The 26670-nt window shown below is 55.5% G+C and overlaps 1 protein-coding gene across 2 annotated transcripts in view, besides 2 other annotated features; it reads right to left on the reverse strand.

Annotated features, from left to right (window-relative positions):
• Positions 1 to 12688, reverse strand: part of KCNK9 (potassium two pore domain channel subfamily K member 9) — a 102286-nt gene extending 89598 nt beyond the window's left edge. For both annotated transcript variants that reach the window (NR_104210.2, NM_001282534.2), the window contains exon 1: positions 12275 to 12688. Coding sequence is in view for 1 of the 2 variants with exons in the window: in NM_001282534.2 (NP_001269463.1) it covers positions 12275 to 12557 (283 nt within the window). In the remaining variant the exon portion in view is untranslated. The remainder of the gene's footprint in view (positions 1 to 12274) is intronic.
• Positions 12411 to 12705: a silencer, noted in NCBI's record as "tiled region #3867; HepG2 Repressive DNase matched - State 23:Low, and K562 Repressive non-DNase unmatched - State 10:DNaseD". NCBI's record gives its function as "represses a minimal TATA promoter and a strong SV40 promoter by Sharpr-MPRA in HepG2 and K562 cells {active_cell/tissue: HepG2 | K562}" and the evidence as "EXISTENCE:reporter gene assay evidence [ECO:0000049][PMID:27701403]".
• Positions 15414 to 15783: a silencer, noted in NCBI's record as "silent region_19573". NCBI's record gives its function as "represses an Ori minimal core promoter by ATAC-STARR-seq in GM12878 lymphoblastoid cells {active_cell/tissue: GM12878}" and the evidence as "EXISTENCE:reporter gene assay evidence [ECO:0000049][PMID:35858748]".

Raw genomic sequence — 26670 nt, forward strand, 5'->3', positions numbered from 1 at the left:
CTGGTCAGGAGAACTAAGACAAACCAATGAGGGTCATTTTGGCCTTTTATTTTAAAACTGATGCTATTTCTACCTTTCTCTATGAGTGAGGCAGTTAACTCCCTGTCACTGGAAGGTTCAGTGATGCTGCCATCCTGAGAGGGTGGGACCAGATGCTTCTGAGTTCTCTTGATATTGTCAGGTGATAATCACTGAGGCTAATCCTTCCTGTATCCAAGCTCTTAATTCCAGGCAGAGGGACAGTGTCTGGGACTGCACCCTGGACAGGCTGTGGGTGTAATGGAGACCACATCAAGCTTGAGGAGAGATTTGGGTTCAAGTCCTAAGCTCCACTTCATGACCTTGGGCAAGTCACCAGATCTCTCAGAGCCTCATCAGCATAACCAGGTAACCATTGGCCCTATTTCATAGTCTTGTTAATGGATGAAAGATGGTTGTGGATGGGAACCTGTCTTGTAAACTAGATTGCACCCAGGTCAAGCAATTATCCATAGTGACATCATTCCTGGCACACTGATGAAAAGGCATCTACCTCTGAAATTCTGTCTTCCACCAGCCCAGGGTGGGCTTATGTGGCAAGCATGCTACCACTGCCTGACCCACACCCATGTCAGACATGACTAATCAATCACACACGGCACCCTTCCCCACTGAGACTGCTTCGTGGTACAATGCTCCAGTGACCAGAGCCAGTCGGCTGGGTCAGACTGACAAGGCAAACTGTCCCCATCCCTGGAGCTGAAATGGGTCTACAGGCTCCCTTCCCCTCCCCCTCCTCATTTCATGCGTCCACAAGTGTCCTGCAGATCCCCCTGCACTGGCTGTGTCTGGGGTGAGCAAGGATTTCACCGTGGATACCAGCTTTCCAACTCCACATGAGCTTGTCCCAGCTGCCTTTCCAAGGCCACCTGAAGACCACTAGGAAAACATCCTGAAATAGTAAGAACATCAAAAACTTTTTCAACATTGCCGAGGGCTGCTGAAGTTGCAGTGAAGCCAGAAGACCCACCCCTGCTTGTACAGTTGTTGATGGGAACAACATAGTAACACAACTGAGTGCTGTGCCCCCTGACCTGCTGATCCCACTACAGCCAGCAAACCCTTAAAGGAGGATCTCACAGAATCCACACACACAGAGATGTCCAACAAACCATTATCTATAGTTAGCCTAAAGAAAGAAAAAATACATTAAATCATTATAAATAGAGGCATGGTTCAATAATTAAGTGTCCATTCATTCAGTGGATATATAGCCATTAAAATCATTTCCCTTCAGTCTGTGGAAACTCAAGGTAATGTGTGATGTAAACTTAAAGAGAAAAGGGGCTCTGAAATGCTATGCATATCACCACAGACCCCGTGGGCACCTCCCAATACCTGACTCCACCCACTCCTCACCAGCCACACCCCAGCTTGCTTTGAGAAGCAGCATGCCCCATTTTCCAGGTTCCCTTGCAGCTAGAGTTGGTCATAAGACATAGTCCTGGCTGATGAGATATAAGTAGAAGCTGTTGGGCGGGTCATCCAGGAAGGTTCTTTAGAAAGAAGCAGGCTCAGCTGGCACACGCCTTTGACTTGTGTTCTTCCTCTTCTTCCTGCTGGGAGGGATGCTGGAGAGGATGTTGGAGGTGGAGCAGCCACCATGGAACCATGAGACACCAGCCAGAGGACAAATGCCAAGCTAAGATGACTGAGCAGAAAGCTGGAAAGAACCTGCTCTCTCAAGGCATTGTGGAGCCACCTGTCAGCCCGTCTGCCTGCCCCACGCTTCGCAACCAAGAAAGACAAAACGGCTGTTTGCTCAAGTCCTTGTTACCTGGCTTTTCTGCTAGAGGCTCCTGAACACGATCCCTAAATAATCCACTCTGATGAAATGATAAAGTCAGCAAGCACATTTGGGCAATGACAAGAAGGTGAACATGGAATGCTGAAGCCATTCTTGGATGTGATCATGGGGTCTCAGGAGAGTCGTAGGGAATTTCCTCCCTTTCACGAAACACTCTGCCGTTGCTTGCCAACTTTCCCTTTCCCATAGTATGAGAGCTATTTGGGGATTCAACACACACTGGCTTCCCCCTCACTAGTGTTTGAATACCTATGGCCTGAACATTGTCCCAGACAGACACCAGACCAATTTCCCCAACTGCCAGAGCTCCTCAGCACTTGGGTGCTGTCAAAGAAGTTCTCTCTGGGAAACCGCACAGGGAGAGCCTCTCATCATGACCAGACTCACTGGGGAACGTTCTCCCACACCCCGTGGCATCCCTGGGCTGGGCCCTTCCCTGCAGCCCGGATAAGCTCAGCCTAGGTCCACCTGGCATCAGTGGCAATCAGCTCCCCCCCACGTCCAACTGAATGCCCATGCCCTGGCACCCATGAGTGGCCTGGCACTGCCTGTTTCCAGACCACATGGGACCATGCACCCAAGCTGCCCTGACACAAAATGCTGCCTAGAGCTTCTGCTTCAAATGTGGGAACCAAGTGTCCACCCCACAGTTCTCAATACCACCCAGCTCACCCTGCCCACCTGAGCAGCTCACCCTGCTCACCTGAGAGGCTCACCTCAGGCCCACCTGAGAGATTCACCCCAACCTCACCTGAGTTTTCACCCCAGCCCCACCTGACAAGCTCATCCCAGATGTATGCCCACCTTCCACACCTCTGACAAACACCACATGTGCGCTGCGTGCCTGTCAGCTGCAGGTAAAGGCCTCTCACCTTCCTGAGTGGGCTGCACCTCACATGTCTGACAGGGCCAGTGACAGCCAAAGTCCATTTCACAAGTAGGCATCTCTTCCTGCCAGATGCCCTGCAGACTCACAGAGGCCTGGCGCCAGCAGCTGGCCTTGGGGACCAAGATCACACATCTAAGCCTCAGGAGTGAGAAGCTCCCCACTCAGCAGGACAGATCCCTAACCTGTTGTCTTCCATTAAAAGCAACAGCTTGAGTTCAAAAGGCTGCAGCCTGTCCTGCACCTACCCAGTGGTCCCAAGGCACAACCAAGCAGAAAGATGTCACCCCAAACTGCTCAGCTCTCAGCTGCTCCTGCTCTCGGGGAGCCAGGAGTACCAGCCAGTGTCCAGCCAGCCTTCCCTGAGCACCTGCTATGGGCCTGGCCAGGTGCAAGGGAGCCTGAGACCAGCAGCCCCTAGGGAATACTGATGTCTACTCAGAAAACTGAGTAGCACAGTGGGCTGGGGAGCAAAGAAACAAGTCCTTTGCTCAAGAGGATAAAGGACAATTGGGGAAAAGAGGAAGGCAGAGCCGGACTCAGGGCAGAAGGTGTGGGAACAGGGCCTGAGCGGGGCTGGAGGATGAAAAGGGCTGCAAGCTGAGGACCTGGGTCTGATTCTGCAGGGGATGGGGAGCTGCTGGGGTCTGGGGCAGGGCGAAGATGGCAGCCATGGGCTTTTAAAGGTCACTGCAGTGGTGGAGTGGAAGGTGGTGTCCCAGGAAGCCATAGTATCCCAACAGAACTGAGTTGGGGAAATCTTACTCCTTGAATGAGCCAGGGCTTGTATTCCAGTCCATAGCAATCCAACACAGAGACACCTTGAATGCAGCCTGTGGCCCCCAAAGCCCCCGGCTTGACACCATCCCAACCCCCATCCATTGGATGGTAGGAGCTTTTCCATCTCTGAGGAGCATTTCTCAGTCAGGGCGGCCTCAGGTGCCCCCTTGCTAAGATTGGGGCCATGAGATTAGATCAGGGGTTCGGCGGCAGCAGAAAGGGGGTGGTGGGGAAGTGGCAAGGGGAAGCTGAAAGTGAATTTGCCAAGAGTGGACAGAGCACAACCAGACCCAGGTGACTGTCCCCTAATGAGCACGCCCAAATGACCACCATCACAACAAAGCTGCCACTCACCAGCTGCCTCCTGGGTGGAGGAGGCGAGGAAACCTTTCACACACATTTCCTCCCATCCTTACAAGGACACAAATTCTGAGCTCTAAGTCTCCGTTTCATAGATGAGGGAGCCCAGGCTTAAGGGGTGTGCCTGGGATTGGGCCTCTGGGATGGGGCATGAGCCAGACGTGAGCCGCCCTGCAGGGCACTGGCATCCCAGGTCTGCCTGCTTCCCAGCTGTGTGCCTTCATAAGAGAGGCCACGGAGGAGCCCCTGAAATCCTGCCCAGGTGACAGGTGGCATCATGGCCCATTCATTGGATGGCTGGCCATGCGTAGGGTAGGGACCTGCCCCCCACTCTCCAGATGCCTGGCCCAGCATCCCTCTTGTCACACCAACATTCCACCCATCACCTGCCACCCCAAACTTCAGCCCACCCTCCTCTACTCCAGCCCCCTCCCTCCACCCCATTGCCACCTACTGGTTCCTCCCAGGGCTCAAGTTCTGATAAGGATGAGGATGGCTCAGGGCAGGTCCACCCCACTCACCTAGCACCACCTTCGAGCAGCCACTCCCTGGCCAGGCTCTTCCATCACTCAGGGCTGGTTGACCCCAAGACCCCAGGCAAGGGCATGGTTGGGCTGAGGCCAGCAAACTGTGAGCTGGAGGGACTTTCAGGCCCAGTGGCTGACATCTGCCCACAGTGTCCCGACAAGCCAGGCCAACACACTCACAGATGCACCTGAATTTTCTCATCTTCCCTGCCATGAATTTTTCCATCAACCACCCCTTCCTTTCTTGGTCCCTAGCACATAATTCTACTTTGTGCTCAGGTATCAATGCCAGGGTTTGTATTTGGGACCATACCAATGCAAGACAGGGACACTTTTGCTTAGTAGCACAAAATGGAAGTACATGTGCTCAAAACAAGTTAATGCAGGAAGGGGCTACCCAGAAAAGCTAGTGCACCAACTGAGGACATTAACAGAAGTATATTGTGTAGACAAGGGGAGGTGATGGTCAGCTCTCCCTGAATGCTCAGACTGGACTGGGAAAGCACATACAGGCTAAAATTTCTCAGAGGAGAGGAACTGGCTACAAAGGGCATTATTGGGAGAAACTCAGGAGCCCAGGGCTATCCCCAAATCCCTACAGGCTGTTACAGAACAGGAGGGAGGCCAAGCTCCACTCAGCCCTCCCTTTGGAGGATCATAAGCTACACGGTGAGTGCACTGACCTAAAAAGGGAGAGCTTTCTACAGGTGGAGGTCCCCAGGTGGGGATGGGCAGGAAAAGAGACCCTCAAAACAAAAATCCCTTGAGGAAAGGGACCTCAGACTCCAGGCTCCTTCAGGCTGGCCATAGCAGGGTGCTCCACCTGGAGGTGGGAAGGACCCTCCTCCAATTCTCAGGCCCCAGAATTTCTCTGCCCATGGGACTCTCTCAAGAATGCCCACTGCCTTTCCTTTATCAGCCAGCCTACCTGGGCTGGTTGCCTCCTAGTTCCTGGGGCTCTACTGAGAACAAGCATTGCATCTCTTTCTCCATGTTTCCCTCATCCTCTAGGAGGCTGGTGTATACACAGCCCAGAGCTGCTTGCTACAGTCTGAGTCAGAGGGGCCAACCCTCTGGGGCCAGCTCCCTGGGCCACTGTAGCATACTGTCCCCACTCCAGGCTCAACTTCGCATCTGTGAGCTGAAATCCCTCTCATCTTCCAGGTCTAAGCCCCCCACGTTCCAGTTTCTAAATGTACATCTGCTGGGTCCTCCTCAGGTGACTACTATAGAGACAAGCAGCCCCTTGAAGAGAAGCCATCCCAACCCCCATGCACACACCACTCCTCACCAGATCAGAACCCCACAAGAGATAATCTCAACATTCGTCTAAACACATCCACTACCACTTCATTATGTGTTACATAATGAGCTCTTTACCACTGGAGGCATTCAAGAGATGACTAGCTTCGGGGGTTCTGGGGTGCTAGTAATGTTCTGTCTCTTGTTAAGAGTGCTGGTTACATGGACATGATTTCCTTATGAGAATTCACTGAGCAATACATTTGTGAAATGTACACTTTTCTATAAGAACGTTATACTTAAATAAAAATGCTTAAAAATCAGAAGTGATTGGGATTGGCTCACCATTTGCAGGAAGGAGATGGGTCTAGAACATCTTGGAGATCCTTCATGGAGGCCATTGAGGCATTAACACTGAGGCTCTAATGAGGGTACTGTGCCTGCTCACCACCGTGTGCCTCCCACCAGCACAGGGCTCCCACCCAGCACATGGAAAGGCAGAGGCAGAAATCCGTCCAATAAGCAAGTGAGTTGAGGACCCACTGAGTACACAGAGGAGGGAGGGAAGGAGGGAGGGAAGAAGGGAGGGAGTACACAGAAGGATGGATGGGTGGATAAATGGATGGATGGATGGATGGATGAGTGGGTGGGTGAATAGATGAGTGGGTGGATGGATGGATGGATGGATGGATGGATGGATGGATGAGTGGGTAAATGGATATAAATGGGTAAGTGGGTTGGTGGGTGGATGGGTGGATGGATAGATGGATGAGTGGGTGGGTGGGTAGGTAGATGGGTAGGTGGATGGATGGGTGGATGAATAGATGGATGGGTGAGTGGGTGGATGGATAGATGGATGAAGGAGTGGGTGGGTGGATGAATAGATGGATGGATGGGTGGGTGGGTAGGTGGATGAATGGGTGGATGGGTGGACGGATGGATGGTGGATGGGTAGATGGGTGAAGGGATGCATGGTGAATGAATGGATTGATGGACGGGTGGACGGGTGGGTGAACAGATGGATGGTGGATGGTTGGGTAGGTGGATGGATAAATAGTGGATGAATGGTGAATGAATGTATGGGTAGATGGGTGGGTGGACAGATGGATGGTGGATGGGTGGATGAGTGGGTAGATGGGTGTATGGATGGGTGAGTGGGTAGGTGGGTAGATGGGTGAATGGTGGATGGATGGATAGGTAGATGAGTGGTGGATGGGTGGGTGGATGGATAGATGGTGGGTGGATGAATGGTGAATGGGTGAGTGGATGGTTGGATGGATGGATGGATGGATGGATGGATGGATGGATGGATAAGTGGGTGGATGGGAGGATGGATGGGGATAGACAGATGGATGGATGTGTAGATGGGTGGATTGATGGGTGGCAGATGCACGGTGGATAGCTGGGTGGGTGGGTGGATGGATGTGTGAATAAGCAGGTGCATGGAGGACTAAGTGAGTACATTGTGAATGGAGAGATGGAGGTGTGAATAACCGCTGCATGGAGGAAGAGGTGTATACTGGGGCCTGTTTCACCTACTGCTCTGACCTCATTAGACTCCACTGATGAAAGTGACCCAGGAAAGAGTAGGTGAGGGCAATGGGTATCTCCAACTCCTGGGTCTCACCTGATTCCCACCCCTCCTCAGAGCACCATGCTGGGTGTCTCCGCATTCCGAGGTGTCTCTTTGATGTACCCCAGAATCAGAAGAAACCCCACTTCTGCCCCATTTCTTGGCTGTGTCCATGACATCTACAAAGAGGCAGTGCTTCCTAGAGGGCCCAGAGCAGAGCGAGCCCAGGTCCGAGAAGGGTGTGGGGAAGAGGAGCTGCCCACAGGCATCTCCTGGCTCCCCAGCATGGCCAGCTACCCTGCTGGACATTACCAAGGAGGCCCCACTCCTCTGGGCCCACCCCATGGCGCCCTAGTAGGCCCTTCATCTGGGTCTGCTGGGCAGTTCTACTGAAGGGTGGAGCTAAAGGGAGAAGGAAAAACGCGATGGACTACTCCAGGAGCCCAGCCCTGGTCCCAGGGAAAACACCACAGTTGGAGCCTTCAGTAAGGAGATCCCAACTGCATGACAGAGTTCAAGGCCCTCTGCCTTGGTGTGTGTGGCCTTATCTGCGTCAGGTTCCTCATCTGTAAAGTGGGGGAGGTGAGTGCATGCGTGTGGAGGCTCCGTGCTCCTCTGGCACCAGCCTGTGGGGTCTGCTTGGTGCTGTATTCTGCAGCCCTTCCAAGAGGCCCACTCTGGCCCAGGAATTGTGCTGGCCCTGCAGGTGCACGGGAAAACACACACAGGTAGGGCCTGGAGCAGAAAACATAGTATTTATTAAAGAAAAAGGCTGGGACTGAGGCAGGCAGTGAGAGGAAAGGCTGGGAAGACTTCTTGGAGGACAAGCCCCTGTAAGACAGGTTAAAAGAGCCAACCAAGGAACATACCCCCTGCATGTGCTAAGCAGGGTGGCAGGGAAGGGGTTGAAGCAGCCACTGGGCTTAGCTGCCCCTAGACTGCACCCTGGACTGCAACCAACTGTTTGGGTTTCCAGCTCCCTCCTCCTCACTCAAGGCCAGGCCTTATCTTGTCATCTAGACTGTCCCCAGAGCCTCAGAGCCTTGGAGCAGCACAGACCTGGCAGGGCCAGGTGCTCGCCCAGAGTGTGAACCACGTACCAAAAACTGCACCAAGAGTGCCAGGAAAAAAAATGGAAAATGCTGTCTGTTTCACGAAAAGTCTGTTTAAGGTGCCGTTTATGAATGAGAAAAGGAAGCTATCTCAAGGCACTCTGTTTTCCAGCAGGTACAGGCCTGGGAGCAAGGCACCTCCAGGGACCCCAAAGCTGTTTCTCAGAGTGTACCCTGCCCCCAGCCAGTCAGCTCAATCCCCACAGCAACCACTCCTAGCTTCAGCTGGGCCCCGAGGTTCTGGGGAAATACTGCCCCTGATGTACGGCTTCCGCTCCTGCAAACTGTAGCAAGAAAAGGAAAAACCCACCTCTCCTTCCCTACCTAAGCCCGATTTCAAATTGTCCTCTACACTCTGCAGATGAGATCTGATTTCTAAGATCTGATGGTTTCTTCTTTTTTAATGATCCTGAAGGTGATAACAGCTCAGGTCACAGATGTTAGATTGGAGAAAGAAGTGTCATGGAGACTCTAACTCTGTTGGATCGTGGGGAGAGGCTAAAGCGCCTGCTGAAGGAAGGTCACATGTGTGTTCCAGGGGTCCCTTACACACCATTTGGCCCCAAGCAGGCCAAATCCAAATAAAACTCCTCCACCCCTGTCCAGACCCTGGCCCAGCACTCCTGACTTTCACCACTTCCACCAACAGGTGGTGGGGCGGGGGTTGGGGGGAAACTCAGACTGAACCCCTAATCAAAAGGAAACTACAGGGTACCTACGAGGGTCTCCCATGCAAAGGTCTAGCACTTCACAAGTTTAGAACTAAACATAATCTCCGCAGAAATAGCTACAAGTGGCACAGACATCAAAGGAAGCAAATGGGGAGGAATGGAAACAGAGCCTGATAAATGATGTAACTGAATTTGCCCTTTGCGGGGCCCAGCTGGACTCCCGTTCTTCCCTGGTTATGACAATGGTCACTGTGCCCCGGGATCCCCAGAGAGCTGGGGTGAGACTCAGGGTAATATCCCTCCAAAGCCTTTTAGGAAGGCTCGGCCACAGATTCAACGCAAAGTGGTAATTACATACGTTTTAAAAATCCATTTCACAGGGCAAGCTAATAGCTGCATCTGAGAAGAAGCCTTCATTCGTGGCCGCCCAGCACCAGCGGCTCCTGTCCCAGCCTTGGAGATTTGGGCAAAAAGTTAAAGCATGCTCAAGAAATAGCTCAAGGTTAGATTAAAAATCAAAACGCCAATGAAGATTAACCTGACTCATTAATATCACTGCCCAATAGGAGACAAATCCTTGGAGGGCGAGGCTTGGGGCCGGGTTTTGTTCTAGGCCTAGGAGCATCTTAATTTGCATTTATATTAAAAAAAGAAAAAAAAACAAACAGAATTAACTGGAAAGGTGCTTTGTTTCCTGTAAATTTGAACTCTTGTGCTAAACAGCTTCTTAGGGCAGAGAGCGGAGGCTCGATCAGGCTTCGTCCAAGAGCGTGGATTCCGTTCCTACTAAGTGCCGGCCACACTGTGCCTGGCAGCTGCAGCCCGCGGGATCTCAGCTGGACCTTAAAAGTCAGCCTGTCAGGTAGTTATTGTGAGACATCTCTTCTGCAGGTGGGGAAACTGAGGTCAGGAGTTGGGAAATGACCTCTCTCTGGTCTTTACACTATGGCCGAATTCAGATTCCAAGCCAGGTCTGTGGGTTCCAAGTTGAACATCTTTCCACAACAGGACAGCTGTGTTAGTGTTAGAGCTGTCTTTTATTCACATACACATACACACACACACACACACACACACGCGCGCGCGCGCACACACACACACACACACGCGCGCACACACACACACACACACATTTTTTTCCCAACCTTTCTTTCCAGAAAATCAGTGGAAAGCCCAAAGAAGGAAGCGAGGAAAATCAGCGAATTCCTCAGATGGCCTCTGGTCCCTTATTCATACAAGTCCCACAGCCCCTGAGGCGAAGCCGACACCCTCCATTTAGCTACACTTCCCTTGACAGCTTCTCTTTGGAGTTTTAACCGTTACAGGCATACACCCAGAGCTACCAATCAGAATCAACCATGGAAACACACCTCAGTAAGAACTTCATCAGTCTCCACAATGCATTTCTTAAGGAAAACTGGCACATTTCAGAGTTTGCTTTTAACACCAATCCTCTCCTCGATGTTGTCGCTCAACTCTCGGGATCAGCCAAGCATTTTATGTGCCTGTTTTACTACTGGAAGCCAGCATGCTAGCCAAATTCACCTGTCTTCCATCTTCAACCCTAAAGGCATGTTTAAGGGCCTTGGGGCTTTCTCCTTTCCCCAGGGGTGGCCAGTTTCAGAGGCATATTTCTTACTCTCCAGCTCTCCAGCAAACAGGCCCCTGTCTCCCAGAATCACTGCCCTGTGCATCTGCGTGCCACTGCCACAGTTTAAAGCCAGAGAAAATGGCAATGACTGGCCCTCTCAGAAGCTGGAAACACAGTGTGGGAAGGGAAGGAGTCATCTGTGTTTGGGGTGCTGGGCAAAGGGCGTGGGGCAAGCAAGAGCCAAGCTGATTATGTAGATAACAGAAGGACAATTTCCTTCACAAACAGAAAAACCTGCACCAATGAATTAAACATTTAAAACAAGATGACTCTCTAAAAAGTATTTTCAACCAAGAAGGAAAGACAGGCCGTCCTGTGCTGGCGCTTCCTGTTGCATATGGCACTGAGAAATCCTTTTTTTTTCAGTATGCAGAGATTTCCAGACAAAGAAAAATATCAAGAGGGAAATTAGAGGAGGAGGTCCAGAGAAGCGAGACAGGAGGAGCTGGGAAGAAGGGAGGGGGGAAGGAGGAGGTCCCTGCCCAGGGCACAGGGGTGTGAAGCCCTGAGGGGTGCAGGAAACAGACCACCCCCACTAACACACTGGCCTTGGCAAGTCCAAGGAGATGGCCCTAGAGAGGCAGCCTGCCTCACTGGGGCAAGTGAACCACAGAGACACCACCCTGCCTCCTGCCATGCAGGGTATCCACCACGTCCACCCGAATGAAGGTACCTGCCCCAGCTCCCACAGGTCTCCAAGTATAACGTCCGGGAGTCCTCCCAGCCCCCAGCCTTAGAGGGGACACTGCCCTCGGGACCGACCAGAGACCCTGCTCTGTGAATAGCGCCCTTGGCAGTGGGGCTGGCGGGCATCCCTGCAGTTTACCAGCTGGACCCCCTCTCGTGACTGGGGCTCAAGTTCCCTGGTTTCTGGGCAATGTCTAGACTGGCCTTTCCCAGTGTCACAGCCTAGGGAGTGGGCAGGTTCTGCCCTGCCCCCACTCTCCACCTCTACTGAGAGCAATTGAGGGGCTGCCACCCCCAACGCAAGCACCAGAGAGCAAACTCTCTCCTCCCAGGGGCCTGGGAAGTCCAAGCTCCAGAACTGGAACTCAGGGGAAAAAAGGAGCCGGGCGGGGGGAAGAGAGATGAAATCTGAGCTCAGAGAAGCCTGGAGCGGGGCCCAGGGGCTACGGAGGGTCAGTGCCTCTCACGCCCCAGGCGCACTCCCCTGCCACCTGAGTCCCTCTAGGAGCCATGGGTGCCAGGCCAGCCCTCTCCAACTCCCAGAGAGGTAGTAAGTGTAAGGCTCAGAGCCCCGCGCAGCCCAGCCCGCGCCGGGGCGGTGGGTGGGTGGGTGTCTGCTATGGGATTATTCTTAGCGCTCCACTCTCTTCGCAAAAGTGGCGCCTCCGCCCTCCCGGCTCAGGCACACTCGCTCGGGGCTCGCACGCCCGGCCCAGACACCAGCGCGGTGGAGAGCACCGGGTGGGGTCCCCGAAGGGTGAGGCTCGGAGGCGCCGCGGAGGGGGGGCTCCCTAGAGAGGAGGGGGCGCTGCGGGAAGGCCCCCAAGGGAGGCTGCGTTTAACCCTCGACGCCCTGCACCCAGCCCGGCGCGGCGCGCTCAGCCGCCTCCCCGGACTCCTCCCGGGGCGCGGGAGCCCAGCGGCGCGCCCAGCCCTTACCTATGGTGGTGATGACCGTGATCGCAAAGTAGAAGGAGCCGGCGAATTTCCACTGGACGCCGGCGCGGTGCGGTTCCGACTGCAGGATCACCAGCTCCAGCTGCCGGTAGTCCTCGCTGCTGATGTTGTACTTCCCCTTGATCCGGATCTCCTCGGCTTTGAGTTTCTCCTCCTCGCGCATCTCGTGGTCCGACTCGAGGGCGTCGAACACGGCGGCGCCCACCAGCAGGTAGGTGAAGGTGCAGACGATGAGGGACAGAGTCCGCACGTTCTGCCTCTTCATGGCCGCCAGCAAGGAGCCGGCGCGGGGGGCATGTCCCGCAGGCTCACAGCCGCGCGCGTCCCACTGCAGCGCCCGGCGGCCGCCGCCGCCTCCTCCTCCGCCGCCGCCGCCGCCGCCTCCAAGTTGTAAGCGGCGGCGGCAGCAGCAGCAGCAGCAGCGGGGAGGCGGGGGGCGGGGAGGCTGGGGGGGGCCCCCTCCGCTGGGGCCGCCACAGCCACCGCCACCGCGAGGCGGCTGGCGGGGCAGGGGCGGCGCGGGCCCGGGCTCAGCCGAGAAGGCGGACAGGCACAGGAGGCTGCTCGAGCGCCGGGGCCAGGCGTCCGGGAACCCCGACACCCTGCGCCAGACCCGGCCGAAGCAGCCCGCCCCACTGCGCAGGGCCATGCAGGGCGGCCCCGCTGGGTACCGCGCGGGCCTTGCTGCCCTCCGCACCCCGCCCCCCGCTCCCGCGGGAAACGCAGGGACGGGAACCGGAGCCAGAAAGCGGCCGGAGGGCGGCCGCGGGGCCCGGTACCCCTGTGGGTCCAGCTCGCGGGTGGCGGTGCCCAGCAAGGAGCCTGCAGGTCCGCGCGCCCAGCGGAACCTGCTTCCCCTTTTACCCCTCCTCGCCCCCTCTCGGTGGTGGGGAGGAAAAGTTTGCGAAGTGGCGGTGTCTCTGGAGTCCCCTGCAAGCGGGGAGGGGGCCGAGCAGGTGCAGCGGGAGGGGCAGCCCGCTCCCCAAAGGTCCGCGCGCCCAGCGCCCACCCGGGCGCGCGGGTGCGCAGCGGGGTCCCCGCCGGGCGTCGGCCGGTGCGCGAAGTTTGCTCGGCTCAACCCCCAAGGCGCGGGAGCGGGGCGCGGCCCCAGGACGGCAGGGACCGCGATGGAGCGGCTTCGGGGGCGGCCGGGGGACGGCGCGGTGGCGGTCGGCCAGCCCGCTCCTCCGGGGGCGGCGGGCGCGGCGGCGGCGGCGGGAGGGGTCCCGCGGGCCTCGCGGAGCAGCGGGGCGGACGCGGGCGCATGAGCCGCGCGGGGGTCGGGGCCCTCCGGCGTCCGGGCGTCCCGGGAGGCGGCCGCCGCGCTGGTCTGCCCCGGGCGCTACGTGCGTGCGCGCCGTTGGGAGCCCGAATGTGTGTGTGCGCGTGTGTATGTGCGTGTGTGTGTGTGTGTGTGTGTGCGCTTGGCAGCCCCGCTCCGGCGGGAGGGCCTCGGGGAGCGGGGGCCGGGCTACGCCGAGGCCGGGCCTCCCTCCCTCCCTCCCTCCCGCAGCCTCCAGGGCGCGCCACCTCCCGCCTGGTCCCCAGCCAGCTGGCGAGGCTGCTGTGGCAGCTCCCGCTGCAGACCCAGCGCGGCGCAGGGCGCACGCGGAGGGAGCCCGGGAGGGGCGGCCTGAGCCGCCAGGGAGGGGGCGGGGGCGGAGCCGCCGGCGGGTTTTGGCGGGGGATGGGAGGATAAACGCGGCTTCTTGGGTCCTTCTAGCCCCGCTCCCCAAGAGCGCAAGCAGCCCTGGCGGGTGGAGAGTTTGAGGGACTCGGGGTTGGAGGAGGAAAACGGGATTCAGCCAGAGATGGCAGGCTGACAGCTTCAGGCAGATTGGGCAGAGAGTGGGGAGCAGAAGGGGAGGGGGCCATGGGCACACAGGAGAGCGGCAGCAGCGGTTCACGAAGTCTTCCCCACCCCCCACCCCCCACCTAGCCACCCGGCGCGGGAGCGTGTCATTGGCCAGGGACATGGCCTCGTGGAGTGGTGGGGTCCCGAGGGCTGCCTCGGCCCCCTCGCCTCCCAGCGGCACAGCCCGCTTGGGCCAGCACCTGCAGACCCGAGTCGTTTCCCTGGAGAGCGCTAAGGACAGCATGGGCCGCCACTTTTGGAGTCAGGACAGCGGGGAAAGACATCGCAATCCCCCGACCCAGTAACCTCTCTGTTGCTTTACTGAAGGAAAAAAAAAAAATACACACACACACACACACACACACACACACACACACACACACACATATATATATATATATATATATATATAATCACTCTTTGATATATATAATCACTCTTTGGTTCCCCACAGCTGGGCGCAAGGTGCGCCGTGGATGCAGCCCTGAGCCACGCGATAGCCCCCTCGAGACCACCTGGGGTAGGAACACGAGGCTCGGGCTGGGGCGCACCTATTCCCTGCTTCCAGATGAGCCCTCTCCAGGCTTTATCTCCTTCCCATTTTGGCCTCCTTTACCTCCTCCCCCTCCCCGCCCTCTCCCTTTAGGCTATCGAGGGGCTTTTCCTTGACCTTCGGCTTCCTGAATCCCGCCTGGAGCCCTGGAGCTCCAAAAGGACAGACCCAAGCCTCAGAGACCCCTGGGCTCCTCTTCCTCTCCTGACCCCAGCCAAGGAAGGGATGGAGATGGGAAAGAGTTGCCTGGCGGCAGGCTAGCAGCTGGCCAAGGGGTGGCTGGGGAATCAGACCTAACCCTCGGGCAGCTCGCGGGCTCCAGGAGACCAGTCCCTTCTGTGGGTCGCCCCCTGGAGCGGTGCTCGGGCTCCCTGGCCTCAGGGACCCCGGGCCCAGAGGGTCTGGGACCCCAGTGATTCACCGAGGCCTCCCAGCTGGGACGCTCTGCACCCCACTTTCAGGGATCACGGGTGCCCACCAGGGAAGGGGAGCCCGCGCTGTGGGCTACGTCTGAGCCGTCAGGTCCTCGCTGGGTCTGCGGGCGCCCTGGGGCGAGGGAGCGGGGAGCCCTACCCCGAGCAGGCACTCTCCCCAGATTCATTTTGGAAACCAAGGCCCCCGCGCTCGGCAAGTGAGCCTGGCTGCCGGGTGAGTCACCGCGAGCGGGCGACAAGGATTCCCAGCAGCTGGTAATTAATTGCGCCGTGGCTCAGCCCACGACGGAACCCCAGTCAGGCCTCCCGCCGCCCTGGCAGCGGCGCCACCCCTGAGTCACAGCCGTCGGGCCTCCGCGCGGTCCGGAAGCCGCCTGCCCGCCTCGGCGCCACCAGGGGGCACTGGACTCCGACCCACGCGGCGGCCGCGCAGCCGGCCTCGCTGCGGGGAAGTCCAGGCTGTCCCCGCGGCAGCGCGGGCGGGGGAGGGGCGCGCCGGCAGACGCCGCGCTCTGCAGAGCCACTTCGATTTGGTTTACGGAACTCCATTTGCATACAGCCTTTCAGGAAAGCGCAACCGCTGTATGAGTACTGGAAGGACCTCTGAGATGAATTACTCCAAACCCCTTGTTTTACAGATGGGAAAACTTCCAGCAAGACAGGATCACGTGCCCAGGATCCCACAGTGATTCCGATGTGGAGCCAGCCCTGGAAGCCTCTCCGTGGCTTAAGGACCCCCGCTGCTTTCTGGCCCCAAGCTTAGAGTGCCTTGAGTGGCCACCTACCAGCCCCCAGACCCTGGTTCTTCCTCTCTTCCACCCGTGGGAATAGACCCGTGGACTCAGGACCTCCCAGGCAGTGTCTGAGCCGTGGAAGCAGAGGGTTCCTCGTCCGCCCGTCCACACCCCACATGTGCCACTTTCCAAGGCGCTGGACCTGCGGGTGGAATGGGAGCTCCTGGGAGCAAAGCCTGGGGCTCAATCAAGCATCCTCCCTACATCCCCAGCATCCATCCCGGATGGTGTGTGCCACACAGCAGCCCAGAGAGTCTGGCTGGGGGCAGCGCCTCTGCGTGCCTGCCTCCCTGGCAGCCCGGGTGGGTCTGGGTGTCCCAACTCTAGCCCCACCTCGAGAAGCGTGTGGAACTGAGGTGTGGCCAATCAGAGTCCAGAATTCCCCAGAGCCACGGTGATTGGCTGGATTTGGACGTGTGAAGGCCCACCTCAACCAATCAGAGCCCTCCTCTGGGTAGGGCTGTCAGCAGATAGGTGACCTGAGGAGGGAGGCGGGTCCTTCCCGACTCTTTGAGAACCCCAATGCAGGCACGTGGCGCACACGCGAGCCACCCAACTGGGGTGAGCAAGTGCATTCTCTTGTGGGCTTAAGCCACAGTCAGTTGGTCCCAAGCCTGTCCGGTGCTCCTGGTGCCCATGCGCTGTGTTTACAGCCTGTCTGCGCCCTCCAGCAGCCCCAACATGGGCCTCCCTTGGACCTCAGTTTCTGTAAAAACAGATGTACCTTATTAGCTAATAAAGAACATCATGGTTTTATAACTCTATCTGCTTGCTGCCTACTTGTTTGCTTCATTCTTTACACACAGTGGGTGTGCCTGCAGCCCCTGTTCTTACCCAGAGAGGCCCAGCAGTTTATCCTGGTCCCACAGTGAGTAAGGGAGGACCCAATTCCCAGGCCAGTACTTCTTCCACATCACCGCAGTGTGTCTGGGCCAGGGTGGGCTGTCTGCTGCTCCACGACATCCTGATTCCTTGGTATGTTCAACGCTTTGTCACATTAATGCCCACATCTTTGAAAATAGGCAGGGGTGCACACTCATCATACCCATTTTACAGATGGGGAAGGCTAAAGAGGGGAGTGGGGCCATGGGTGGGCTCACTGATCCTGGCGTACAGCCTGCCCTTCCCTCCACCTCTGCCCGGGGCAGACATCGCTCATTGATCTCAGCACTGTCTTTGGCTGGGATCTAGTACAGCCAGAGAATCTTGAACACAGGGGTACACATAAGGCCATTCCTGGACTTAACACTGACCTATGTCCTTTCAAGGAAGGTAAGGCACCAAGGAGTCCAGTGGCCCCAAATCACAGAGAGAGTCTGTGATGAGTCTCCTCTTCCTCAGTGGCCTCCCTGCCCAAAGTAGATATTCCTCACTCTGCTCTTAGCTGATTTCTCAAGGCCAGTGACATTTGCACAGTTGATGGCACAGCTGATAACTTTAGACCTCCAGCAGTGTCAGATTCCGGAGAAAAGCACTCCCAAGACAGGCAGCCATGCTCATCCAGGGGTTCCCAGCCTCCTCTTCAGGATGTGAACAAGTGTGTTGTGTGGTTACACAGTTTGAGAAACATTGGGTTAAACGGGGGCAAGTGCAAGACTTCTCAGAGCCTTTGTTCTGCTAACAGACATGGTGACCCCTAGATGGGAGTGCTGTGAGCAGTGTTTCCCAAACTCATTCAGCTGCAGCATCGGGTCCTGAGGACTGTGCTTTGGGGAATTGCTGGCCAGCCCAGATACCTTTACTGGGAGGCAGGAGGTCTTGGTTCCGCTTCTCGCTCTGCATAGACAAGCCCTGCACCAGTTCTGATCCTTCAGCCACCTCACTGTCCCTGCTGCCTGCAACTGAACCTCCCCTTCTCTTCTCCACCTGCCACCAGGGCCACCTTCTTAACAGGCTGACTCTTGCACATCCATGGTGAAAACTGTCCATGAGCCTGTGGGTCAAGTCTAAGCTCAGCCTGGCATTCCCATCCTGATAGCTGGCCTCCATGACCTCTCTCGCCCAGCCCCTCCTCCTCATCTTTTAGGATTCAGCTCTGGCAGTGTCTCCTCCAGAAGTTTCCCTGCCCCTGCAGACTGGACTAGACCCCTGTGTCCCTGCATGTACTCCTGGCAGAATGCTTCTACCACAATGACTCATTTGGGGGACTGCCACTCTCCCCCCCCCAGACTTTCAGCTCCTTGAAGGCAGGGGCCACATCTGACCCAACCTGGCCACAAAGGGCCTGCCACACAGTAGGTGCACAATGAATGTTTGATGAGAATGAAAGAACAGAGTTTGGTTCAATCACCAGTCATCACTCCTTGTGAGACCTCTCACAGGAAGGCAGAAGAAGTAGATGCAGGAGAGTCAGGGAACACAAGGCTGTGCATATGGCAGAGATGGCCCAGGCCATGACTGAGAGAGTGCCCCCAAGGTTTAGGCCTTGGCTCTAATGTCTGTGGATGTCCAATATAGCGAGGAGGGAGGAAAAGGAACAAGACAGACAGAGGTGGAAGAGAAATAATAAAGCAGAGAAAGAGGCTCAAGTGGTGGAAAGAGAGGGGAATGAGGCTATAGAGAGGAGTGGGGCCATGGGTGGGCTCACTGATCCTGGCATACAGCCTGCCCTTCCCTCCACCTCTGTCCAGAGCAGACATTGCTAATCGATCCCAGCACTGTCTCCGGCTGGGGTCTATTACAGCCTGAGAATCTTGAACGCAGGGGTACACATAAGGCCATTCCTGGACTCAGCACTGACCTGTTTCCTTTCAAGACCCCAGCTGAGAAGGCAAAGAAGATTTTAAACCCAGTGTGAGACAAGAGAGGAGCCAGGAGAGAGTGGCAGTGATGGTGTATGTGGCACAGAGAAAGGAGGCCCCTGTGTGCTGATTCCAGTGAGTGCACATGTCTCAATCACCTGCTGGATGTGGAGCCTGGGCTGGCACGTTCCCTGCTCTAGCTTGAGTCCTCAGGATAACTCTGTGAGACTGTTGCTATCATTCCCACTGGCCAGTGACAAAGCCAAGGCTCTCTGGGCTTACGACAGTTGCTATGGGAGGAGTCCTTTGAAAGGCACTGCCTCTGCAGGGCCAGGAGTTGGGGAAAGTGGTGTCCTTCTTCAACAGGCACAGGCGATAAGGGTTTGGGCCACTGTGGCAGCCAGAAGATTGAGATGGAAGACAGAGAGGTGACCCAGGCCCCGGCACACAGTAGGTGCTCAGAACTTGTTTCATTGGCTCCCTGATGAATCCAAAAATGGCAAGAGGAGTCCCCAGGACTCAGTTAGTGATAAGGTGAGTGCCAGGAGGAAGGGAGGCAGGAACCTGGCTCGGAATTTCTGAGAGACAAGGGGCAGAGCCAGTGGTGGAAGAGGGGAACCGAGGCCAGGCTGGCTGAGCTCAGGTGACCTTTGAGTTATTAGACCTCCAGCTGCCAAGGAAGTGAGTGGGTGAATTGAGCCCAAACTGGATGGGGTCTCTCCCTTAGATGCCAAGCCCTGGTGGTCTTCCTGGGCATTTTCAAGCTCGAAGCTTCTTGGTGTGCCATGGGGTGTCCTTGTGGCCACGTGGGCAAAGGCGCTGGCATGGCTAACACCCACACTGTGCAGGAACAGGATGGGAGGTGGAATCGGGCCCAGAGTGGGGCGGATCTGCCCCAGAGCTAGGGGCTTTTAAGAGCAGGAATTTCATTTTAATAGATGAGCAGATCATTCTTAGACTCAAGATCACATAGCAAAGGAGGGAAAAGCCAGGCCAAGCCCCCCTCCTTCAAGGCCCTCTCTGCTTAAGCCAAGGACGCCCCCCCCACACCAAGCTGCACACATGCACTTGCCCTTGCTTTATTAGAGGAAATCTGATTAGTGGATATCAGGCTTCTTAATGCGGCCTGAACCACTGCCCATCTCCACGCCTGACCCATAAATAGCTGCACTGCACAAGTGGCTGCCAGGATCAATCGGACAATCTGCAGAGGCTCCTCTGGCCAACACATCCCAAGAGGGGCTGCAGCAGGTATGAAACCTATGTCCGCCATGAGGATCTTATTAACCGAGGTGAGGCAGGGTTGATACTCCAGGGATACCCTGCTGTTCCAAAGCAAGAGGGGTGAGCGGCTGTGGGAGGACAGTGTGTGTCTCTGCCCACAGGCTCTCACTGCGATCCAGGGCTGGGCTAAGGAGCTGGGCCTCTAGGGCAGCAGGGAACACATCTCTGTCCCCAGCTCCCTCTCTGGATGCCCTGGGCACAAAGCAGAGGCTGCCAGGCATTTGTTGCTCTGATTAATAAAATGGATGTGGTGACAGCATAGTGACTGGTGGCCAGGAAATGGCATTGGTCACCGTTCCCTCAGTCACCTACCCCCACCCAATGCCCAGAATAATCAGACATGCGTAGTAAGGGGACATTTGTTGGACCCAGCTCTCCTGTCTTCTTAAAAATAAAGATAAAAATAAAAATGCGCTCTTAAAAACAAAGATCACAGCTTGTTGAGAACTCACTAGCTGTAAGACCAGGAAAGCCACCCTGTCAGGCCTCCTTGTCTTGCACTTGGAGATAAGATGGGATTCGCCTGCAGCGCTGCTGAAGTTGAGCCAGAACACCTGTAAAGTGTCAGCACAGGTGAAGAGCCAAAGCGAAGCCTGGACCCCGGGTCTGAGGACTCTCCCTCCATCGCATGAGCCTGTGCCTGAAGCACACGCCCAGCATCCCCAGCTTCTCCATCACCGGAATCCCTGGCTTTCCCCAGACGATCTCTAAAGCCCCCTTGGTCTGCGGGATGAACGTGGCTTCCCAGTCAGGCCCAGTTCCAAACTCGATGTGGTTGCTTGTGCCCTGTGTGACCTTGGGCAAGTGAGGGACCCTTTCTGTGCCTCTTTCCTTGTTGGTGAAACAAGGAGAAAGAGCCGGTCCCCTCCGGGGTAAGTCATGATACGAGGTTGCACGGCTCTGGCAGAGGCCTGGGTGCCCACTGTGCACTCAGCCAATGTTGATTCTCTTCCGAGTGTAGAGGGCATGCTGCCCTCCTCTCTCCACCTAACTGCCCGCCAGCAAGGGAGCGGTGCCAGCCGCCACACGCTGACGGTGGAGACGCTACTACACAGCCAGCTCCCTCCCTGTGGGAGCTAACTTTAGCCCAGTCACATGGAGCATTAGTTGTGCCTGTGCCGAGAGTTTACAGATCCCTGTGGAAGGTGTTTAAATATTTTTCCTTTTCAGAAGCCTATTTCTCGCCTCTGCCATTTTCACCTTTGTGTGGCAGAAGGTATTTTTGCAAACGCAGCAGAGGTGGCAGCAACTTCGCAGTGTGATGCGGCGTCCCTGCACACGCCGCTGCTATTTCGGGGATGCACAGGTGTATCATTTGTATCATTCCAGGCGCTGTCAACTCCCAGAGAAAGGGAAGAGAGGATTGGGTGCTTCCAGAGGCCCCCAAAGACCCCCTCAGGCACTGGCGCTGCCCCAGGAGGCCTTCCTGGACCCTAAGCTGTTCTGAGCCATGGCCTTAAGAGCTCTCCACTGCAAAAGCATCTGCCCTTAGCACTTCCCACTGTCCCCTGGAGCTTCCTAAGGACAGGGCCTGTGTCCAATCCATCTATGTCCCCGGCATCCAGCACAGCACCCAGCACAGGGCCAGATAACATTTACTAAACTGAATTACCTCCTGGTGGCCTCTGGAAGTACACCGGCTTCAGAGAGGCTTCTCTGCCTCTGAGCTGCTCTCTGCTCCCTTCACTTGCTGGCAATATGAGGTTGATGGGAGATGGCAGGTTTGGGAAATAGAGGCCCATGGGATCATGTGGGGGCCGCAGGAGCCCCAATCAGCTCAGGCTGGGGGGTCCCAGCAGGCTTCCCAGTAGAGGGTACTTCAGTCTGGCATTTGTCCCTAGGCAGGGAAATGGGTGAATTCCCGGCTCACACAGTTGCTGTGAGCACTGAGCCAACACAGGTGATGCCTCTAGGATGTGCCTGGCTCACAGCAGGGGCTCATCCAGGTTTAAGTCCCTTCCCATAGGGCAAGAAGGCAGGTTGTCGATTAGGCATCTTCCTCATTTGACAAATGAGACTCTGGCACAGAGAAGTCTAGGAACTTGCCCAAGGTCATGGAAATAACTGTCTGTATAAGGAGACACCACGTACCTTCTGGGTCCCCAGAACCCAGGCCCAGGCCATCCTGAGTTCCCCAGGGAGTCTGATGCAGCTCAGCAACCCAGTTCTTCCCACTGGTATCTACAAGGGGTACTGGGGACCAGGCAGCAAAACCTGCAAGGTCCCTTTTTGCATGGAGTGGATATGCTAATGGCACAGATGGGCAACGAACCAGTTAACCAGCAGGATAAGCTGCAAGGATGATTGCAGGGAGATGATCAAACAGAAGGCAATGATTAGGAGGCAGTGTGTGGTGTAGGGGGAGACCTTTGGGATGCACTGGTCAGGGAAGAGTCCCCATGGAGACAGTATTTGAGCTGAGGCCTGAATGACATTTGTGGACCCAGAGGGAAGGCATCCAGACAGAGGGAACAGCGGATGGAAAGGCCCTGAGGGTGGAAGAGCTTGGCATGTTCAAGGAAGAGCAAGGTGGCTGATGTGGCTAGGGTGTGGGCAGCCGGGAAAAGTGGCACAAGACAAGATCAGAGGTCAGCTCTCCTTGGCCCCAAAGAGGACAGGAGGCAGGTCTAGAGTGCAATGGTTCCTGAAGGCACAGGCAGGTCTGGACTTCCCTTGCGCATTCACAGAAATGCACTCTGTGCTTTGTGTAGAGGAGAGAGCTGAGGTATGGAACACCTTGTTGGATGGGTGTGGGATCTCAGCATCCACATTCCTGCTGGCCTCTGAGGGACAGGGACCTGGGACCTAGGGAGATCTCTGATAGTATTTCTGATTCTGGAGGGAAAAAGACCCCCAAGAAATGGGTGGCCAGTTCAAGCCACCATGACACCATCACTGATGACTGTAAACATGTGCAGGTTATGGTGTGCATGGCTCAGGTTCAGCTGGGCTGCAGCTGAGCCTCCATTGCCACCCTGACCACCTCCACAGTGTCAAAGTCCACTCACAGGGACCAGGGGCTGCTGGGGTGAGTTTGGTAAAGTTCCCACAGCTTCTTCTAACACCAACTGGCTCCCAGTGCCTTGGAACAGGCCTGGCAGACACAATGTGATCTTATAGCACCAGGAAGTGTCCCCGTTTCTCCAGATCTCTCCCATTGCCACTCCAATGCCTGAAATCTCTTTAATGGTGGCAGGCTGAGTCATGGACCCTTTTTAAAAAAATAATGTTCCTTTTTTTCTTTTTCAGACGGAGTTTCACTCTTGTCGCCCAGGCTGGAGTGCAATGGCATGATCTCGGCTCACTGCAACCTCCTCCTCCCCAGTTCAAGCGATTCTCCTGCCTCAGCCTCCCGAGTAGCTGGGATTATAGGCACACACCACCACCCCCAGCTAATTTTTGTATTTTTATTAGGGACACAGTTTCACCATGTTGGCAAGGCTGGTCTCAAACTCCTGACCTCAGGTGATCCACCCACCTCGGCCTCCCAAAGTGCTGGGATTACAGGCATGAGCCACCACACCTGGCCCTACCCTTTCTATTTTTGATCACAAAATCAATACCTTTTTACACAAAAATTGAGAAAGTAAAGTAATACATTTAAAAACGACTCTGAATCCTAAGGATTTTGCCTCTGGGGAAGTCTAGCTGCACCATTTTAGCAGGTTGGTGGGGAGCCGGCTTCAGGAAACACTGACTTCACACCCCCAAGTCAAGAGTTGAGTTCAAGGGAGTCATGGCAATGCAAAGGCAATGGAGCATTCAGGGGAGGAGGTCAGAGGAGGCCCCAGAGAGGAACGAGAAACACTGATGCCCCGACCGGCCCTGCTGAGAGGCTCTGTCTGGGCCCAGAACCACCATCCTCCCCAGCAAGCACATCTCAAGTGGCGCTCCGGTTTTTTGGGCACTTCCCACGTTCCCACAGTACAGCCCAGGATGGGACCAGGCAGAGATTCCTGTCTCCATTGAACACAGGGCTCGGCCCGCGGCCACAGAGCTGGTTTGGGATGTGTCGAGAGCAGAAGCCCATGCAGCCAGTCCAGGCCCCACTTGTCCCCAGCATGGTCAGCCTCCCTGGGCAAGCCACATTCTACCTGATCCCGACTGGCTCTGACACAGCTCTGGAGGTACCCAGAGCGGGTTAGGAGAACTTCCTGAGCATAAGGTCAGAGACGGTGCCACCTCCTGGGACGTCAGGAGGCATCAGGCTGGTCTCCCCTGGGTAGTGACAACTCTGCAGTCTGGAGCACTGGCGAATATCCCCAAAATCAAAGCCAACTTGAGTATGGGCACTTCAGGACCGCCATGCTTGAGGGAGGAGGTGGCTGGAAAGAACACCTTTTGCAAGGAGGGAGGCGATATTGGTCAAGAACTCAGGCTGTGTTCTTGGGCAGACCTGGTTCAGATCTTGGCCCAAGCACCAAGATGTCCTGGGTGAGGGCCCTGGACTCAGAGCTTCAAGCTTTTCCCTTGCAGAATGGATGTAATGAAGCCTCCTTGCTAATCAGGTGGGACGGGGGTGGATGAAAATCTATAATGTGAGCCATGTGCTGCACTAGCTCAGTCTCTGACCTTGACTCAGGAGAGCACAAAAGAGTGGGCCTTGAGTCAGATGGTCCTGGTTTGGAATCCTGACTCCACTGTGTACCTGCTGTTTGGCTGTGGGCTGGTCACTTTGCCAGTCTGAGTCTTGGTTTTCCTGTCTTGAAGTGGGGATGGGTGCATGTTTTCCTCTTGGCAGAGTTCCTGGCACAGGGAAGCACTGATTGGATGTGAGCTGGTCATGTTTGCCTCTGTCCTTAGCCTTGAACCTCACTCTGTAGCAAGCTACTCTTGCTTCTCCTCACACAGGGGCACCAGTGACACCCACACACCAGCAGTCCTGGGGACTCCAAACCCAGCCGGGTAGAGGTGGTAGCAGGAGGATCAGGGCATCAGGGAGGAAGAGGGGGATGTGGGGAGAAGCAGGGGAACTCCCCCAGTAGAAGGGGAAGTGAGCAGGTGGTCAGACAGATGGGAGAAATGGCAGGTAAGGCTTAACCCAGAGTGAGGTTCTGTGATTCTGGTCCAGGTGGACACCTCCTTGGTGCTTCCACTCCAGAGTCCTCCCTCTCCCAAACTAGACCTTAGAGTCCAACAGCCTCAGGACCAGAGGAGAGAAACACATGTTCATTCTTTCTTGACACAAACATCTGTTAAGCATCTGCTTGGCCAATTCCTGGTCCAGGTACTGATGATACAAAGGTGAGGTGGGCACCATCCCTGCCCCCGGGAGCTCATGTTGCTGACAGCATATGTTCATGTGGCCATCACCATGGCCATGGTTCATCATCAGCAACAAGGCCCCCCAGGTCAGCTCAAACACGTCCCCTTCCCCCACTCCTTGTGTCCTTGGCCAACCTGACTTCCGGCCAACCCAGCACTCATCTCTACTATGACTTTTGCCATCTTTTCTGGCATCATGGAAAGTATGCAGGAAAAAGATTCAAGGCCAGGCCCTGGGGACCACAGCTTCCTTCATCTTTCCCTCTGTCTTCACCTGGGGCCAGGCCTACATGCTGGTGTGATAGTTCTCCAGCCTCTCTCAGACCCTTCCGGTTTTCTCTTGAAGGCCTCCTCCCTAATCAATTTCTCTCTACTGGGTTCAACTGCATCTCCGCATCTTTACCCAGGGGCATTTGACATTCAGACCTGAGCCCTCAAGAGCTGATAAAGAAAACTTATAACATGTAAGGGGCCGCCAGCCAGACAGGAGAAGAACAGTTACACCTAGAGAAAGAGCACCCATATCCTATAGGTTTCTGAATCAATCGGGATGGGATAGGTTATGCAGCAGTAAAAAAAGATTTCAAAAAATTAAAAATCAATGGCTTAAAACAGCAAAGGCTTATTTCCTGCTCGTGTGAGTCAATGGGTAGCTTTGCAGGTAGCTCTGTTCCCTGGGGTCCCTCCCAGACAGGCCAGGCTCTTCTGATAAGAGCTTCATGATCCCTGGCAGGGAAAGGGAATGTGACAAATGCTGCAATGGGTTTGAAATCTTCTGCCCAGAAATGTCCCACATCACTTCCAATCTTGTTTCCTGACTGCAGCATGTCACATGGTCATGCCTGGGGAGTGCAGTTTGGCTTCCCACTCAGCAAAGACCTTGACCCAAGAATCCTGTCCCCAGGCAAGCTCCCCCTCATGTGGGAAGGCAAACGAGAGAAGTTTGAGAGCATGCTGCCTGAATCACCCACATCTCCCAGCTGAGGAAAAGACTCGGGAGAAGACTCAAACCCAAAAACAAATGAGACAGAATAGAGGCCACAAAATGAAGAGAGATGAAAAGGGAAAGACACAGTGGTGAGCAGCAGACCTTGATATGTGGATAAATTAAATCAAAATGAATAAGGATAGACCTGTCTCAGACTGCACAGCGGAAGTGCTGAGTAAGGGCTCCTGAAATAGGAGGTCCAGACTGGAAGGGAAAATTCTAATGATAGGCTCTTCATAAAAGCTATAGCTCAGCAGCCTCTAGGAGCTGAGGGGAGGGGAAGTTAGACATTTTCCAGAGTCTCATCCTTGAAGGGGAGGGGAGAGGAAGAAAATAAAAGAACTCTAGAAGTGTCACCTTTTTAGACCAAAGAAGAATAATTATGAAAGAAATAGAACATCTTGTTGGGTGAAATAGTTGGCAGGTTGTTTTCAGCCAATAGTAGAGAAATCTGTGCCTGGTTA

This window comes from Homo sapiens, chromosome 8 (genome assembly GCF_000001405.40).
Source record: "Homo sapiens chromosome 8, GRCh38.p14 Primary Assembly".
NCBI lineage: Eukaryota > Metazoa > Chordata > Mammalia > Primates > Hominidae > Homo > Homo sapiens.